Source organism: Homo sapiens, chromosome 10, assembly GCF_000001405.40.
Source record: "Homo sapiens chromosome 10, GRCh38.p14 Primary Assembly".
Classification (NCBI taxonomy): Eukaryota; Metazoa; Chordata; class Mammalia; order Primates; family Hominidae; genus Homo; species Homo sapiens.
In genome coordinates this window covers 116,447,392-116,466,012 of record NC_000010.11, presented here as the reverse complement: position 1 = coordinate 116,466,012, position 18,621 = coordinate 116,447,392, and the positions used below count along the sequence as shown (strand labels likewise).

The 18,621-nt window shown below is 40.2% G+C and overlaps 1 protein-coding gene across 5 annotated transcripts in view, besides 1 other annotated feature; it reads right to left on the bottom strand.

Moving 5' to 3' along the window:
• Positions 1–18,621, bottom strand: part of PNLIPRP3 (pancreatic lipase related protein 3) — a 50,111-nt gene that overhangs the window by 11,945 nt on the left and 19,545 nt on the right. For all 5 annotated transcript variants that reach the window (NM_001011709.3, XM_011539276.2, XM_011539279.2 and 2 more), the window contains 3 exons: positions 10,183–10,291; positions 4,928–5,047; positions 4,723–4,845 (listed from right to left, as the gene is read on the bottom strand). In NM_001011709.3, the coding sequence (NP_001011709.2) occupies positions 4,723–4,845; positions 4,928–5,047; positions 10,183–10,291 (352 nt within the window). The remainder of the gene's footprint in view (positions 1–4,722; positions 4,846–4,927; positions 5,048–10,182; positions 10,292–18,621) is intronic.
• Positions 13,109–13,640: an enhancer, noted in NCBI's record as "OCT4-NANOG-H3K27ac hESC enhancer chr10:118211885-118212416 (GRCh37/hg19 assembly coordinates)". NCBI's record gives its function as "activates a minimal SCP1, AML or CMV promoter by ChIP-STARR-seq in primed H9 embryonic stem cells {active_cell/tissue: H9 hESC(primed)}" and the evidence as "EXISTENCE:reporter gene assay evidence [ECO:0000049][PMID:30033119]".

The following is an 18,621-nucleotide window of genomic DNA, read 5'->3' as shown; positions in this document are numbered from 1 at the left end:
CTGATAACTGGTAGCATAAACCATATCTTAGAAACAGTAACTGTAAGTGGCAGTCTTCTTGAGTTGGGAGGGCCAGACCTTTTGTCTAGGCTTGGATATTGTACATTTATCAAAGTTACATATAATTTTATTTGTACCAAAGAATTATGTGACTCAAAAGGGACATTCAAGAAGTGGAAATAAGCAAAAGCAAATGTGAATGACTTTGTGCTTTGACACAAATATACTGAGTCACTTCCTAGTGACAGTGGCAGGAGGCAGACAATTTCCTAGGCAGATAGGGGTGTGTCCTCAGTGAAACCCAACCTTTAAGCCAAAAACAGTGTGAAGCCTGAAAACGAAGCTGCCAGTTCCAGGTAAAGTCCCTGACCAGAGTGAGAACTTCGATTCCTGTTTGCCTGGTCTTTCCTGAACAACGTTTTTGGTTCTTTCTGAACAAGGTTTTTTGTTTGTTTGTTTGTTTGTTTTGTTTTTTTTTTAGATGGAGTCTGGCTCTGTCACCCAGGCTGGAGTGCAGTGGTGCAATCTCGGCTCACTGCAAGCTCCACCTCCGGGGTTCACGCCATTCTCCTGCCTCAGCCTCCCGAGTAGCTGGGACTACAGGCGCCCACCACCACGCCGGCTAATTTTTTGTGTTTTTAGTAGAGACGGGGTTTCACCATGTTAGCCAGGATGGTCTTGATCTGACCTCGTGATCCACCCACCTAGGCCTCCCAAAGTGCTGGGATTGCAGGTGTGAGCCACCGCACCCAGCCTGAACAAGGTTTTTTAACCAATCTAATGTTGCTTTTTCCAAGGCTACCTACAGCCAACACCTCCCTCATTCTGAGCCTATAAAAAGCCCAGACTAAGCCACACTCTGGGGACTACCTGCCTTTGGGTGGGAACTACCTGCCTTCAGATAGGGGCTACCCACTTTGGGTTCCCCTCTCATCCAAGAGCTGTTTGGTCACTCGATAAAACTCTTCTCCACCATGCTCACTCTTCAGTTGTCTGTGTAACCTCTTTCTTCCTGGACGTGGGACAAGAACCTGAGACCCACCAAACAGCAGGTGCCAAAGGAGCTGCTGAAACACTGTAGCCATCCCACCCCACGCATCAGGAAGCTGCAGTGGGGCTGGGACAGCCCAAGAGCTGTGGTCTGGAGTACAGCAATGGGATCAAACAATGTGAGACACACCCCTATTCGCTGAACTGTGCAGAGGGTGGGAACAAATGAGCTGTAACACAAACAAGCCGTAATGTTTCCTGGGGGCTTAGACCTCAAGGCTCCCTAAGCCACAGCTGTAACATGCTGTATGTAACACCCCCTTTGGGGCTGCGTGGTTCCTGCCATCTCCAAGTTTTTTTGGCACCACCACATTTCCCTCGTTCAGAAGCTGGTGCCCAAGGTGGAAGCTGCTTGCAGTATGCCTGGTCCAGCCACAGCCTCGTGTGGAACCAGTGCCTGTACTGGCCTGAAGCCACCTGCCCTACCACAGCAGTGGGCATGCCTGGCTCACCCTTGGCAGGTGTGAGATCCAGGTCAGCAGAGTGAGCTGAGCACAGGCTGCCAGGCCAAGTGGGTGAGATAAGTCCAGTGGTGAGCCCAGCAGGTGCAAGTGAAACTCAAGCAGAGGCACTGCAGGCTGTGGAGGTCTCTGGCTGGTGAAGCAGCATGGAAAAAAATCCTGTATCACTAGGACCTCTGACACAATATCCCTGTGCATATAGTATCTCCATTGTAGACCAGTTAAGACTCTGCCTCTCTGTTTCTGCAAGAATAACTGAACTCCCTCCTATTCAATCACAAAACAGTCAGCATTGTGAACCAGTGCTGGGTTAAAGGTGTAACAAGTGGGGGGTTTTATAAAGAATGCTAAAGATGAATTAGTTTTGTCATTATCAAGCATGACATTATTGCCATCAATAGTTAGGATTATTGGAATAATAATAAGATCTAAATACATCTGCACATTCCAAAATTTTCATAACATTCTAGTCATTTATTCTTTCTTTTCTTTCTTCTTCTTCTTCTTCTTTTTTTATTTTAGAGATGAGGCCTCACTATCTTGTTGTGCCCAGGCTGGTCTTGAACTCCTGGCCTCAAGTCTCAAGTGATCCTCCTGCCTCAGCCTCTCAAAGTGCTGGGATTACAGGTGTGAGCCACTGTGCCCAGCCATTTATGCTTTCTTTTATTTTACATAACAATATTTTTACTGAATGGCGTGGACTATTCTTTGAATGACCTACACAGCTTAGCCAATCTTTGAGAAACTAGATTTTGGTTTTAGCATATGCAGTATAATTATTATGTAATAATTGCTTCCAACAAATGACTCCTTCCTGGGTCCTCACCCATTTGCAGTATTATGTAACCATTCCTTCTCTCAACATGGAGGCCATGTTAAAAATACCCCTGCCCCATTACAGGCTGATCTTGTAACTTGCTTTGCCCAGTAGCAAAGAACCAAGATCAGTTCTGTGGAGAAACTGACATTGGTTAAGTTCTAAGGCCTTAAAAGACCTTCCAGCATCCACTCTTACTGTCCTGAAACCCAGTTGCAATATTATGAAATCCAGGCTACCTGTCTGGGGAGAGAGGTCCTGAAGGATGACAGACCACCTGACAGAGGAGAACAAGTCCCAGGGTTCCTGACACGGAGGGTCATCTCAGACCTCCTCATCCAGCTTAGCCCAGCTCAGCCCCCAACTGGATGCAGTCACCTGAGTTGCTCCAGCCAACACCACACGAAGCAGAATCTCAGGAGAACTCTGCCTGAATTCTGACCCTCAGAACGCTGGGCAATAACAATTTTTCTTGTAATTGTTCACTGTGGTTTGTTACACAATAGAGAACTGAGACAGAATAGTTTCAGAAATAATGTAATATCGTCAGCACAGATTAATAATTGGCATCATCCATTTTTATTAAACAAAGACTTCTCTTACATTAGGTCTCTGTATATCTATAGATTTATATTCACAATTAATTGTGATTTAGACAAGACGGTTCATTAGAATATAGCAAACTATTAATTTTAAAAGTAATGGTTTGTTAGTAATAAATTTAAGTAAAATAGAACATCTTGAAGTCTTAAAACTCATCCAAAGGTTTAACATGAATGATAAATGTTCTTTTAATCCAATAAAGTTATAGGAAATCTTAAAATGTCTCAAAATGATAGCTTATGATAAATGTATATTTTAGTTGAATTAATCTTTCATAAAATTTCATATGATCTGTGTATAACAATTAATTATGTAATGAAGTCTTCTGAGCTATATTTTGTCCTAATAGAAAGGATTCATAGTCGTAATATAGAAAATAATGGGGAAAATCAATTTTATAATATGCCTCTTTTGTATGAATTTTGCTTATCTGAACTAGGTGAAATTGGCCTTAATTCTTATTTGTTGCACCTGTAGATTAGACAGTTGTGTGGGTTTTTAAAATATAGTCATTACAAATATATACTTCTGATCACATTTTCTCTTTCAGAGCAAATATTAAACCTTTGTAATTTATTTCTAGTGAAGTAGATACCTGAGTTACACTCAATACTATGATCTCTGTATCTTTCCTCTACAACAGCCAAATGAAAGAGCAAGTAATTTCAACTCCTTGATATCTTGACTACAGGGGATTGGGCTATGAGATATTCAGAATCATCCAGGTATCCATTATCATATCATCATATATATATATATTATTATTATTATATATTATGGGTAATGTATTTCATTAATTATATGATGAAATGTAGAGATAGGGAAGAACAAATTTCCCAAATAATAACCTTTCGGTGCCTTTTAACTTGATGCCATATAGATATTGTAACTATTATTATTGGAAACTACTATAAAAAGTTAAATACTACTTGTTTAATTTGTAATTACAGCATCCAGAGTGATTCTTGTTACAAGTAACTCAAACCACGTCTCTTCTCTGCTCAAAATCCACTCATGGCTCCTATCTCATTTGAGTGAAAGCTTAAGTCTTTTCTACCATCCACAAAGTCCTGTGTTATTGCCCTCTGCCTGGTTCCCTCTCCAACCTTATGCCCTACTTCTTTCCTTTTACCTAGTTTCAGCCACAACAGGCTCCTCACTGTCGTGAACCTGCCAGGCTGACTCCTGTTTTCAGCCCTTACACTTGCTTCCCCCTGTTGGCCTGGAATGCCTCTCCCCTTGGTGTCTATAAGGCTAACTCCTTTAGGTCATCTTTTCAGTAAGGACTCCCTTACCATCCTGTCAACAATTTTCTTCTTCTACTTTACCTTCACTGTCACCAACACATCATATTCCCCTTCAATGCTTTATTTTGTCCCCTTAGCTCTTACACTATTTATTGGTTTCCTAACAAGTTAGAAAATGAACTCCATCAGGGAGGCACCTTTGTCTTTTGTATTCATTTCCATATTTGCTGTTCCTAGAATAATGCCTAGCACATAGTAAACACTCAATACATATTTGCTGAGTGAATAACACACCTTCCTTGTTTATATTGAGTGACTGCAATATGCTAGAGATTGATAAGGCACCAGGGATACAAAGTTAATGAAGACACGGTACCCGATCTTGTGGATCTGAGAACAGGTGGGAGAGCTTCTTATATGCAACTGTGTTTTGAGAGAAAATACATTTTATATGTATATTATACACAAAAGTAGGTGGATCCCATCTAAGGAGAGAGCTAAGTGAATATGCATCAGTAGCATTCATAGTTTAGAAAGTATTTACCTTTTTTGTAAGCATTGAAGTTAAATTTCAGTAAAGGTGTAATTAAGTCTTCACATCCTGGCATGTGCTTCCCTCCATTTGGGTAAAAGTCAAGATGACCACAAGCATCAATGGTTCCAACACCTGAAATAAATAAAAACAGGGTAAATGCCTCTAAAAATCTCCTCTATGCTTCAATGAAGTTTCTGATTCTGTTAAAACTTACCAAGCTCAAAGAGGATGCGAGCTGCATTTGTATGAATAACGTCAACAAAGTTGGCATCCGAGGGGTCTAGCCTGACTTCCTTTGGAGTGTTGTGGAAAAATGGCCCAGCTGGGTCCAACCCTAGAGAAAGCACAACCAAGACATGTTCTATGGAAGTGCACATTAATATTGTTGTTACTTTGGAAGCATGTGTCCTTTCCTACATTATTTCTATCAATCAAAGATCACTCAGGAAAAAGTACAGATACATAACCTAAATCTATAAATGTAGGGTCTCTATATATTGCAATGTCAAGTATCTACAGATAAGTAATGCTATGTTGAGACAATGCCAAAACAGCTAACAAATTAAAAAAATCACAGTGGCTATTCTAGGGTCTGTATATGGAATACCATATATACAATAAGGTTATGAATTACAAAGGTTCTTGAAAAGCAACATTTGTAGGCAAAAAATTAAATTAAATTAAAAACACAACCACTCTTTGATGTGTAAAGATGAATCTACAAAGCAACACAATTAAAATAACAGAATCCTTGTCCTGAGCTATGGCTCACTTAGTTCTACTTTCATTAATAGTAATACAAATGAAAAGCCCGAAGCCCAGGGAAGTGAAGTGACTGGACAAGGTTATCATGTGTTAGAGGCAAACTGGACTAAGAGGCCAGGTGTCCAGACTCTCATCCCATTGCGTCATGTTCAAATGTTTCGTAAAATAAGGGCAAGATAGCTGGAATTCTTTAAAATGTTATGATCTTTCACATATTCAATCATTTCTGTATTTGACAATTATTTGTCAAGCACCTAGTATGTGCCAGGAACTAGGTTTAGCATTCAGATATGAGGAATAAGACCTTGCTTTGTCTTCAAGGGATTTTCCATTTGATGGGAAAGGCACCCCAGTCAGTGTCCTCCGTGCAGAGGCAGTGGTGATCATAAGTGTTATCCAAGCACAGAGAAGCCACATATAACCCAGTCTTGCGGAACTAGGACATGCTTCTGCAAGAGATAAGAAACATGGCTGGGCGCGGTGGCTCACACCTGTAATCCCAGCACCCTCGGAGGCCGAGGCGGGTGGATCACGAGGTCAGGAGTTCGACACCAGCCAGGCCAAGATGGTGAAACCCCGTCTCTACTAAAAGTACAAAATTTAGCCAGGCATGGTAGTGGGCACGTGTAACGCCAGCTACTTGGGAGGCTGAGGCAGGAGAATCACTTGAATCAAGGAGGTGGAGGTTGCAGTGAGCCAAGATTGTGCGACTGCACTCTAGCCTGGGTGACAGAGCAAGACTCCATCTCAAAAAAAGAAAAAGAAAAGAAACACTAGTAGAGATCTGAAGGGCCAGAAGAATTGGCCAGGGCAAAGGTAAGGTGGCCAGCAACCCAGGGGAGGACAGAGAAGTACACGGCCTCCAGATGAAAGCATCGTGTTTGGGAAACTGTAACTAGTTTGCTAAGGCTGGTGTGTAGAGTTCTAGGATTCGGTGGAAGATGAAGGTAGTATTGCTAGCAGGAGCCAGATGTCAGCTGAGCCATGTCAAGGAGTTTGGACATGATGTGGTCATCAATGGGAAGCTGTTGTAAGCTTGCAAGCAGGGGAGATTTATGATCAGATTTATATTTTAGCAAAATCCCTTTGCTGTGATATAGAGGCTGGATCCCGGAGTGGGAAGGATGCAGAGTAGCATTGCCGTTGACACCTCTGGGAATGTGGCATCAGCAAGGAAGGAATGTCTGTGTCACAGTCTGGGGTGTGTGCTCAGCACACTTAGCTTGTCATAGGATGTGTTTTTTTTTTTTTTTATTTTTCTGACTAATATAATCACTAAAAGAGTGATTATAGAAAAGCAACAGGAGAGAAGAGTGGGCCTAGAATGGAAACTTGAAGAATATGAACAGATAGGCAAAGGCAAAAGAAAAGAAATTCATGAAGTAGCCTGGAGAGAGGGAGTCAAAAAAACAAAGACAACCAAGAAGATGCGGAATCATAGAAGCTAAGAGAAGGGAGCACTTCAGCAAGGCGGGAGGGGTCCACTGGGACAAATTCTGCAGAGGGGTCAAGTAAAACACAGAGTCAAAATGTCTGATAGAGTTCCACAAAAAGCCACTAGTGATCTGGCAATAGTGGTTTTGGGGAAAGAAGCTAGGTAGCAGTGGGTCAAGGAGAGAATGAACCCTAAGGAAATGCAATCACTCCACTTTCAACTTTGTGGAGCTTGGATCTAGAGGAATGCAATAGGCTAGGGCATCATTTAGAAGGAAATGAGAGGCCAGGAGGGAAGGGGTTCGTTTCAGCACAGCGCTTCTATTGACAAGACCTGAAAAAAAGTGAACAAATGACTTAAGTCCACAAAGCGGGGGAACTCAGAGCACAGATGGAAAGACACTTAGACAAAGAGATCAATGAAGTAATGCAACATGCATATGAATGAACCATTCGCGCTTAACAAAGAGGAAAAAGTATTTATCTCACAATTAATCTTCAACTCTTGGAAGAATTTTTATTTTACTAGTGTGATTACACACAACTTTCTAATAAAGTCAGGATTCCTGGAGAGAAACATCCCAAGATAGGTATACCTCAGATCTTATTGATTGGAGGACAAGGCAATCAGATTAAAAAAAAAAAAAAAAGACAGTCTTTCCAAGACGTAAGGAAGAGGGAACATTGAATTTGTTGTTCTAGGATATCTCAGGAGAAAAGTCTACAGAAGGGAAGAGAATTATTAGGTTCAACCTATTAATTAACCTTAGGGAGACAGACATGACCTCTTACTACATGAGTGAGAACTAATCGTTTAGGATCTGAGTGTGTAGTATGTATGTGTATTTTGGTACGTGTGTGTCAGCAAAATGAGAGTAATTTTTCCTCAAATAAGAAAAGCGTTGATACTGTTTATAAATAAAAATAAATAAAAGCAGAATCAGCTGAGTAACCCCCTAACTATATTTATTATGACAACTACTTACCACTTATACATAAATACCAAAGACATAAAAACTTATGTATGTCCTTAATATGTTTATCATATTAATTTTGTTTTTAAGTGGTTAATTATACAGCTAAAATCTGTTTGTGAGGTCTCAGTTCTTCTATTACTCAAGGAACATGATTGCCCAAAAACTAATTTCTCAGAGGAATATAGATTAAAACATCCACATAATATTAATTCTTTGGACATTCAGAAAACCTTTAAAAATCTGTTTTCTATTTACCCAGCAGGATAATTCACCTGATGGGAAAAACTAGAGTTAAATAGTATCTGATTTTTGAAAAAACTTAATAAAAACAAAATCTCTTTGAATTGATCATAACCCAGTATGAATTGTAAATGCAGTTATGTGTTCTGCTTCACTCAGCCTGCCTGAGGCTGTGAGGCCCCATGAGGTTCCATCTTCAAAAGAGGAACTCATTCCTTCTTTTTTCTGGGCTTGAAAATTGACCACAAAGGGTCACATAATGACTTCAGTGAAAAAGTTCAGTTTTTATTATTCTAAATAAGAATGGTGGTGGTGGTGGTGGAGGTGAGTGAGGAGGATTTAGGAGCAGAGAGTTAGGAGAAGAGAGATGACTTATAGCAGGAATAAGCCTGTTATATCAACAGATTGCAGAGACAAAATAATCCCAATTTGGACTTCTAGGTATTTTTTTAAAAACTGTGTTCTAAATTGAGATTTGAATTTAAAGTGTGCATGTATGTGTGTGTGTGTGAGAGAGAGAGCGAGCACGTACACACACATGCACACAGAGCACAGCAGTTTAACAAAGAGAAAATACGCTTCTGTGGCCAAGCCTGGAGTCAATGCAGTAAGGAGGCTTTCTGTTAAAAATAACAGGCTCATCCATAATTATAAGACCATGTGATATAATATTTGTGTTTTCAAACACAAAAGAGGCACATGTCAAAGGGTATGAGAAGCACAGAGAATTAATTCCTGCCTGAGGAGGAAACATTTGAGATGAATCTTGACAAATGGACAGTGAATGCTCAGCAAGAGGGACAACAGCACGTGCAAAGGCACAGAGCATGAAAAACTGTGATGAAACATGACAAGTTTACGTGACAAGCTAAGAGGCTTCACACAAGGAGACACCCTGAGAGATTTGGAGCAGTGGAGTGGCATGGCCTGCACCTGGAAAGATAAGCCTGGCAGTATTTGTAGAAGACTAGGCTGGGGCACCAGCGGGGACCAAGGCCAAAATGCAGGCAAGAGATGAGGGACTGAGCCAGGACAATGACCAGAGGATGGACAGGGAAAAGGCAGATGAAGGAGACGTGGGGCTTGCTTACTGGCTGTTGGTGGGGGGATGCAGAGGGAGAGGCCAGCCCCGCCTGTTGGTAAAGGAGCTGTTGCTTTGACCTTCATCCATCTCACACAATTGGTTTGGAAAACAGAATGTGGGGAGGAGACATGATTAATTATTATACCCCCAAACCCAATTCATGCTATATACTTTGCTCCGCAACTTATTTTTAGACTTAACGGTATATCCAGGGATAATATTAAAAATGGTAACAACTGAGTAAGCTGCAGTCCAAGTGTGTCAGGAACGTCCAGGACAATCAGTGGGATTCAAACTCATTCTTTTTAAAAATAACTTTTAAAAATTGATATATAATAGTTGTCCATATTTTGGGGGCACATGTGGTATTTTGAGACATGTATACAATGTGTAATGATCAAATCAGGGTAATTGGGACATCCATCGCCATAATCATTCATCTTTTCTTCGTGTTGGGAACATTACAGTCCTTCTCTTCTAGCTATTTTGAAACATGTAATAAATTATTGTTAACTGTAATTTCTGTATCATGTACTAGAATGTACTCCTTCTAGCTATGGATTTTTGTACCTGTTAACCAACTTCTCTTTAGCCTCCCCTCTCTTCTTCCCTTCCCAGCCTCTCATAACCACCATTCTACTCCTACGTCTAGGTAAACCTCACTCTTTGCATTACTGGTATGAAATCCCAAAGGATGGAATGTGTTATAATTGCTTCAACCATTCAATTGCGGGTGAGGGAACACATAGTTTCTCTTACTTTGTCACCACAGACAACGCTGCAATGAACCCCCTTGAAGCGAATCTGCACATTTCTGCTCTGAAAACACGTTCACGTTTTATTTCATTGGAATCACATTTTGTAGTATCTTATATTTTCTTCTGCAGTATTACTTGGTGTTCAGATACTTGGTAGTGTGTGTAAACAATATTTAAACACACTCAAGGCCCAACTGCAGGGCATGCTTACCAGTTATTCTTCCAAGGCCTGGTATCCTTGACCCAGCTTCCCCAGCCAGGTGTGCTCCCAAGCTGTGGCCAATCAAGTGCACTTTAGAAGGGGAATATTCAAATTTTTTCTGAAAGAATTGTTTAACAGAATAAGTATTTTAAAAACAGCGGTGGAATAGCTTAAATATGCTTTAAAAATAGAAAAAAAAAAGGATCAACATGGTTCTCCCTTTTGCACATAAGACAGGGACTGGTAAAGTCACAAAGTGACACCTCTGCCTACATCCTTATCCAACTGAAGGAGAACAGATGAGCTTGGAAGAATGCCTTCTATAGGAGCTCTCCTCCTTGTGCTAAGGGGCTGGCCTGTGGTCCTTGGAAACAGGAGAACAGCCCTAACAACTATATTCGTGGCTTCTAGCTCCATGCTGATCCTTCCTGAGGCCCAAATCCTTTCAGCATGCTCACAACATGCATCAAAGGCAGCTCATTCCTACAGTTATCCACCTTGCCTGTGTCTGTATCCCAGGTTAAGGCAACACTAGAAAATGTATGGGATAACTTTGGTTTTAAAACAGGAGCTTTTAAGAATATTCACAAACTCAAATAACTCAATATCAAGAAAGCAAATGATCCAATTGAAAATGGGCAAAGGATTTGAATAGTTATCAAAAGAAGACATACAAATGGCCAACAGATTTATGAAAAAATGTTGAACATCCTTAATCATTAGAGAAATGCAAATCAACATCACAATGAGATATCACCTCACATCTGTTAGAATGTCTCTTATAAATTAAACAAGAGCTGTCAAAGATTTGGAGAAAAGGGAAAACTTGAACACTGTGGAGGGAACGTAAATAGGTATAGCCACTATGGAGAATAATATGGAGGTGCCTTGAAAAACTAAAAATAGAATTACTATATGATCTATCAATCTCACTTCTGGGAATATATGCAAAGGTATCAAAATCATTATGCTGAAGAAGAGATATTTGCACTTCCATTTCATTGCAGCATTATTCTCAATAGCCGAAATATGGAATCAACCTGTGTCCATCAATGAATTAATGGATAAAGAAAATGTGTTATACCTGCACAATGAAAAAGGAAATTCTGTCATTTGTGACAACATGGAAGACATGCTAAGTGAAAGAAGCCAGGCATAGAAAGACAAACACTGCATGACCTCACTTAATATGTGGAATTTTAAAAAGTCAAACTACGTAAGTAGAGGATAATAGTAGTTATCAGGGACTGAGATTGGGGTGTGGTGAATAGGGAGATATTGATTAGTGGGTACAAAGCTTCAGTTACACAGGAGGAATAAGTTTCTGAGATTTATTGCTTAGCATTAATAGTAATGCATTGTATATTTCAAAATTGCTAAGAGTAGGTTTAAAACACTCTCATTATTAAAAAATGGTACATCTGCCAGGCGTGGGGGCTCACGCCTGTAATCCCAGCACTTTGGGAGGCTGAGGCGGGCAGATCACGAGGTCAGGAGTTCGAGACCAGCCTGACCAACATAGTGAAACCCATCTCTACTAAAAAAATAGAAAAATTAGCCAGTCGTGGTGGTGTGTGCCTGTAATCCCAGCTACTCAGTAAGCTGAAGCAGGAGAATCACTTGAACCCAGAAGGCAGAGGTTGCAGTGAGCTGAGATCAGGCCACTGCACTCCAGCCTGGGCAACAGAGCGAAACTCCGTCTCAAATCTCAAAAAAAAAAGAATGAGATCATGTCCTTTGCAGGGACACAGATGAAGCTGGAAGCCATCATTCTCAGCAAACTAACACCAGAACAGAAAACCAAACACTGAATGTTCTCACTCGTAAGTGGGAGTTGAACAATGAGAACACATGGACACAGGGAGGGAACAACACATCGTGCGGCCTGTTGGGGGTGGGGGACAAGGGGAGGGAGAGCATTAAGACAAATACCTAATGAATGCAGGGCTTAAAACCTAGATGATGGGTTGATAGGTGCAGCAAACCATCACGGCACGTCTATACCTATGTAAAAAACCTGCACATTCTGCACATGTATCCCAGAACTTAAATAGTGCTGGCATCTGCTTCTGGTGAGGCCTCAGGGAGCTTAGAATCATCGGGGAAGGCAAAGGAGGAGCTGGTGTATCACAGAGTGAGAGCAGGAGTAAAAGGCAAGTGGGGAGGGGCCGTGCTCTTTACAATCAGATCTTGTGTGAACTAACCGAGCAAGTACTCACTCATCACCAAGGGGGTGGCACTAAACCATTCATGAGAGATTCATCCCCATGATCTAATACCTCCCACTAAGCCCCATTTCCAAATTGGGGATGACATTTCAATATGAGATTTGGAGGGGACACACATCCAAACCATATCATTCCACTCCTGGCCCCCCTACACCTCATGTCCGTTTCACATTGCAAAATACAATCATCCCTTCTTACTCTTCCCCCAACATATTAATCATTCTAGCATCAACTCAAAGCTCAAAGTCAAAGTTCTCATCTGAGACTCAAGGCCAAGTTCCTTTTACCTATGAGCCTGTAAAATAAAAAACAAGTTATTTACTTCCAAGACATAAGGGAGGTACAGGAATTGGGTAAACAGTTCAATTCCAAAAAAGAGAAATTGGCCAAAAGAAAGAGGTAATAGGCCCCATGCAAATCTGAAACCCAGCAGGGCAGGCATTAAATCTTAAAGATCCAACATAATCCTTGACTCCATGTTCCATATTCTGGTGTGAGGAGTGGGATCCCAAGGCCTTGGGCAGCCCTGCCCCTGTGGCTTCTCTGGGTGCAACCCACATGCTGCTCTCTGGGGTTGGAGTTGAGTGCCTGCCAGTTTTTATAATCATGGATCTTCCAGTGGATCTAACATTCTGGGATCTGGAGGGCAGGAGCCCCTTCCCACAGATCCACTAGGCAGTTCCCCAGTGGGGACTCTGTGTGGGGGTTCCAACCCCACATTTCTTCTTGGCATTGCCTTAGTAGAGTTTCTCTGTGGGGGCTCTGCCCCTGCAGCAGACTTCTGCCTGGGCACACAGACTTATCTATACATCCTCTGAAATCTAGGTGGAAGCTGCCAAGCTTCCTTCACACTTGCACTCTGAGCATCTGCAGATTTAACACCACTTGAAAACTGCCAAGGCTCATGGCTTGCACCCTCCAGAGCTGTGTTCTAAGCTGTATCTGGGGCCCTAGTTGCTGAGGGTGGAGCCTGAGCAGCTGGGATGCAGGGAGCAGTGTCCTGAAGGCTGAGCAGGGCAGTGGCACCCTAGGCCTGGGTTCTGAAACCATTCTTTCCTTTTAGACATCTGGGCTTGTGATGGGAGGGGCTGCCTCAAAGATCTCTGAAATGCCTTTCAGGCCTTTTCCCCATTGTCTTGGATAGTAGCACCCAGCTCCCTTTTAGTCATGCTAATCTCTCTAGCAAATGGTTGCTCCACAGCCCACTTACATTCTGCTCTTGAAAAAGCTTTTTTTGTCTGCCACATGGCTAGGCTAGGCTGCAAATTTTCCAAACTTCAATGTTTTGCTTCCCTTTGAAATATAAGTTCCAACTTTAAGTCATTTATTTGCTCCCATATCTGATTGTAGATTGTTAGAAGCAGCCAGGTCATATCTTGAATGCTTTGCTGCTTAGAAACTTCTTCTGCTAGATACCTGAAGTCATTACTCTTAAGTTCAACATACCACAGATCCCCAGGGTGTGGACACAATGCAGCTAAGCACTTTGGTAGGGTGTAACATGGGTGACCCTTACTCCAGTTCCCAATAACTTTGTCATTTCTATCTGAGACTTCATCAGCCTGGATTTCACTGTCCATATCTCTATCATCATTTTGGTCACAACCATTTAACAAGTCTCTAAGAAGTTTCAAACTTTCCCTCATCTTCCTGTATTCTTCTGAGCCCCACAACTCTCCCAACATTGCTCATTTCCCAGCTCCAAAATCACTTCCACATTTTGAAGTATCTTTATAGCAATGCCCTGCTCCTTTTTACTAATTTTTTTTGTGTTAGTTCATTCTTGTGTTGCTATGAAGAAATATCTAAGGCTGGGTAATTCATAAAGAAAAGAGGTTTAATTGGCTCATGGTTCTGTAGGCTATACATAAAGCATAGTGCCAGCATCTGCTTATGTCCGGAAGCTTACAATCACGGTGGAAGGCAAAGGTGGGACTGGGGTATCACATGGCAAGAGCAGGAGCAAGAGAGTAAGTGGGGAGGTACCATGCTCTTTTAAACAAACAGATATTGTGTGAACTAACTGAGCAAGAACTCACTCATCATCAAGAGGATGGCACTAAGCCATTCATGGGGGATCCACCCCCATGATTCCAAACCTCCCACTATTCCCACCTCCAAATTGATGACCACATTTCAACATAAGATTTGGAGGGGACACGCATCCAAAGCACATCCTCCTCTTTGTCTATTTTTGCTTTTGCTGCCTGTGATTTTGGTGAAATATCCAGGAAATCATTGTCAAGTCCAATGTCATAAAGCTTTTCTTCTATGTTTTTTTCTAGGAGTTTTATAGTTTTAGGTGTTATGTTTGTCTATAATCTATTTCAAATTGATTTGTGTGTGTGTGTATATAGTGTAAGACAAGGGTCAAATTTAATTCATTTTTATGTGGATATCCAGCTTTCCCAATGCCAGTTGTAGGAAGAGCCTATCCTTTCTTCATTGTGTATTCTTGGCACCCTTGTGGAAGATCAGTTGACCATACATACATGAGTTTCCTTCTGAGATCTCTATTCTGTCTTTATGCCAGTGCCACACTGCTTTAATTGCTGTACTTTCATAATAAATTTTGAAATCAGGAACTGTGATGATTCCAGCTTAGTTCTTCTTTCTCGAGATTGTTTTGGCTATTCAGGGTCCTTTGTGCTTCCATATACATTTCACAATTGTTTTTACTATTTCTGTTAAAAAAAAGGCCACTGGAATTTTGATAGGTATTACGTTGAATCTGTAGATAGCTTTGGGTAGTATGAACATTTTGATAATATTGACTCTTTTGATTCATGAACACAGGATGTTTTTCCATTTATTTGTGTCTTCTTTAATACAGGTCTGTTCAGATTTTCTGTTTCTTCATGATTCAGCTTTGGTATGTTGTATGTTTCTAGGAATTTATCTATTTCTTCTAGGTTATCTTAAATTTTGTTGTGTAATTATTTATACTAGTCTCATGTTCCTTTTATTTCTGTGGTCTCAATTGTCATGTCTCCTTTTTATTTCTTATTTTTTAAATGTTAGTCTTCTCAAGTTTTTTTTAGTCTAGCTAAAGGTTTGTAAATGTTGTTCATCTTTTCAACAAACCAACTTGTAGTTTTGTTCATTTCTTAATATTGTTTTTGTATTCACTATTTTGTTCATTTCTACTGTAATTTTTATTATTTCCCTTCTTCTGCTAACTTTAGAATAAGTTTATTCTCCTTTATCTAGTTCAGGGGTATCCAATTTTTTGGTTTCCCCATGCCACAGTGGAAGAAGAATTGTCTTGGGCCACACATAAAATAAATTAACACTAATGATATCTGATGAGCTTAAAAATAAGGTCCATGCATAAATCTCATAATGTTTTAAGAAAGTTTACAAATTTGTGTGGGGCCACATTCAAAGCTGTTCTGGGCTGTGGGTTGGGCAAGCTTGATCTAGTTCTTTTAGGTATAAAGTTAGGTTGTTGAATGGAGAGCTTTTTTCTTTTTAAATTTAGGTGTTTATCACTATAAACTTCCTTCTTAGTTTGCTTTTGCTGAATCCCATAGGTTTTGGTATGTTGTGTTTTTGTTTTCATTTGTCTAATGGTATTTTATAATTTCTCTTTTGATTTATTCTTTGACCCATTGGTTGTTTAAAAGTTTTCTGTTTAATTTGCACATATTTGTGTATTTTCCAGTTTTCCTTTTGCTATTGATTTCTAGTTTCATTCTACTGTGGTCAAGAAAGATACTTGGTATGATTGCAATCTTCTTGAGTTGGCTAAGATTTTGTTCTGACCTCACTTGTGATCTATCCTGGCGAAGGTTCTGTGTGTACCTGAGACGAAAGTGTATTCTGCTGTTGGGTGAAATATTCTATGCACATGTGTTAGGTCCATTTGGTCTATAGTGTTGCTGAAGTTGTTGTTCAAATAAGTTTTCTTCTTATTTGTTTTCCATCTAGGTGATCTATCCATTATTGAAAATCAGATAATGAAGGCTCCTACTATTATTTCACTGCTGTGTATTTCTCCCTTCCAATCTGTCAATGTTTGCTTTATATATTTAGGTACTCTGGTGTTGGGTGTATATATATTTATAATTATTATATCTTCCTGGTGAATTGATTCTTTTATCATTATATAATGACCTTTGTCACTTGTGATACTTTCTGACGTAAAGTCTATTTTGTCAGATACAAGTACATTCATTTGTTTTCTTATGGTTACCATTTGTGTTGATTATTCTTTTCCATCTCTTCACTTTAAACCTATGTGTGTCTCCAAAATATAAAATGAATCTCTTGTAGACAGCATGTAGTTAAATCTTTTCAAAACTATCTATTCAATCACTCTATATCTTTTGATTAGAGAGTTTAATACATTTACATTTAAAGTATTATTGATGGAGAAGGACTTATTGTTTTTTGTTTGTTTTGTCTCGTTTTGAGACAGGGTCTTGCTCTGCCAGTCAGGCTGGAGTGCAGTGGCAAGATCATTATCACAGCTCAGTGTACCTTCAAACCTTTGGACTCAAAGAATCCTCCTGCCTCAGCCTCCTGAGTATCTAGGACTACGGGTGCATGTTACCACGCCCAGCTAATTAGAAATTTTTTTTTTTTTTTTTTTTTGAGATGGAGTCTTGCTCTATTGCCAAGGCTGGAGTGTAATGGCACTATCTTGGCTCACTGCAACCTCTGCCTCCCAGGTTCAAGCAATTGTCCTGCCTTAGCCTCCTGAGTAGGTGGGATTACAGGCACCCACCAGTATGGCCAGCTAATTTTTGTATTTTTAGTAGATATGGGATTTCACCACGTTGGCCAGGCTGGTCTTGAACTCTTGACCTCAAGTGATCCGCCTGCCTCGGTCTCACAAAGTGCTGGGATTACAGGTGTGGGCCACCGCACCCAGCCCTAAAACAAAACAAAACAAAACAAAACAAAACAAAACAAAACACCTTTTTATAGAGACAGGGTCTCACTATGTTGCCCAGGCTTGTGTTGAACTCCAGGTCTCAAGTGATCCTCCCACGTCAGCTTCCCAAAGTACTGGGATTACAGGCATGAGCCACCACATCGGACCACTATTACCATTTAAAAAAATTGTTTCCTACCTTTCTGTCTTATAGTTCTTTGGTCCTCTTTTCCTCTCTTGTTGTCTTCCTTTGTGTTTTGTTGATTTTTTGTGTTAATATACTTTGATAGCTTTTTTAAATCTTTCGTGTATTTTCTATAGGTACTTTCTTTGTGACTACCATAGGGTTTACATAAAATATCTTATAATAGTATAATAGTGTATTTTAAGGAGATAACAACTTAATTTCAATCATATACGCCAAAGTCAACACTTTTACTTGTTCACATCACATGCTTCATGTTATTGATGTCATAATTACGTCTTTTTTATTGTGTATCCATTAACATATTTTTAGTTATAGTTATTCTTAATACTTTTGTCTTTTAACTTTTATACTAGAATTAAAAGTAATTTACACACACATGTTACAGTATTTTGTATTTGTCTATATGTTTACCTTTACCAGAGAGTTTTATATTTCCACATACTTTCCCTCTTTCTTTCTGTTTCTTTTCTTTCTTTCTTTCTCTTTCTTTCTTTCTTTCCTTCCTTCCTTCCTTTTCTCTCTCTCTCTCTCCTTCCTTCCTTCCTCTTTCATTTTTTTTTTTTTTTGATGGAGTCTCACTCTGCTGCCCAGGCTGGAGTGCAGTCTGTTACCCAGGCTGGAGTGCAGTGGCACCATCTCAGCTCACTGCAACCTCCGCCTCCCAGGTTCAAGTGATTCTTATGCCTTAGCCTCCCATGTAGCTGGGATTACAGGTGCGCGCCACCATGACCAGCTACTTTTTTGTATTTTTAGTAGAGATGGGGTTTCACCATGCTGACCAGGTTGGTCTCGACTTCCTGACATCAAGTGATCTGCCTGTCTTGGCCTCCCAAAATGTTGTGATTGCAGGCATGGGCCACCACGCTCAGCCTTCAATTATTATATTCTTTTGCTCCAAGATTTGTTTGGTACTTTTTATATTTTTTTAATCTTCTTGTTGAAATTGTCACTTTGTTCATGCAATATTCATTCTCCTGACCTCATTTAACATTTTTATGATGGTTAGTTGGAATTCTCTGTCAGTTAAATCATATATCTCTGTTTCATTAGGGTTAGTTTCTGGAGATGAATCTGTTTCTTTGGTATATATTGTTTCTTCATTTTCCTTGACTCTTTATGTTGGTATTTGCACA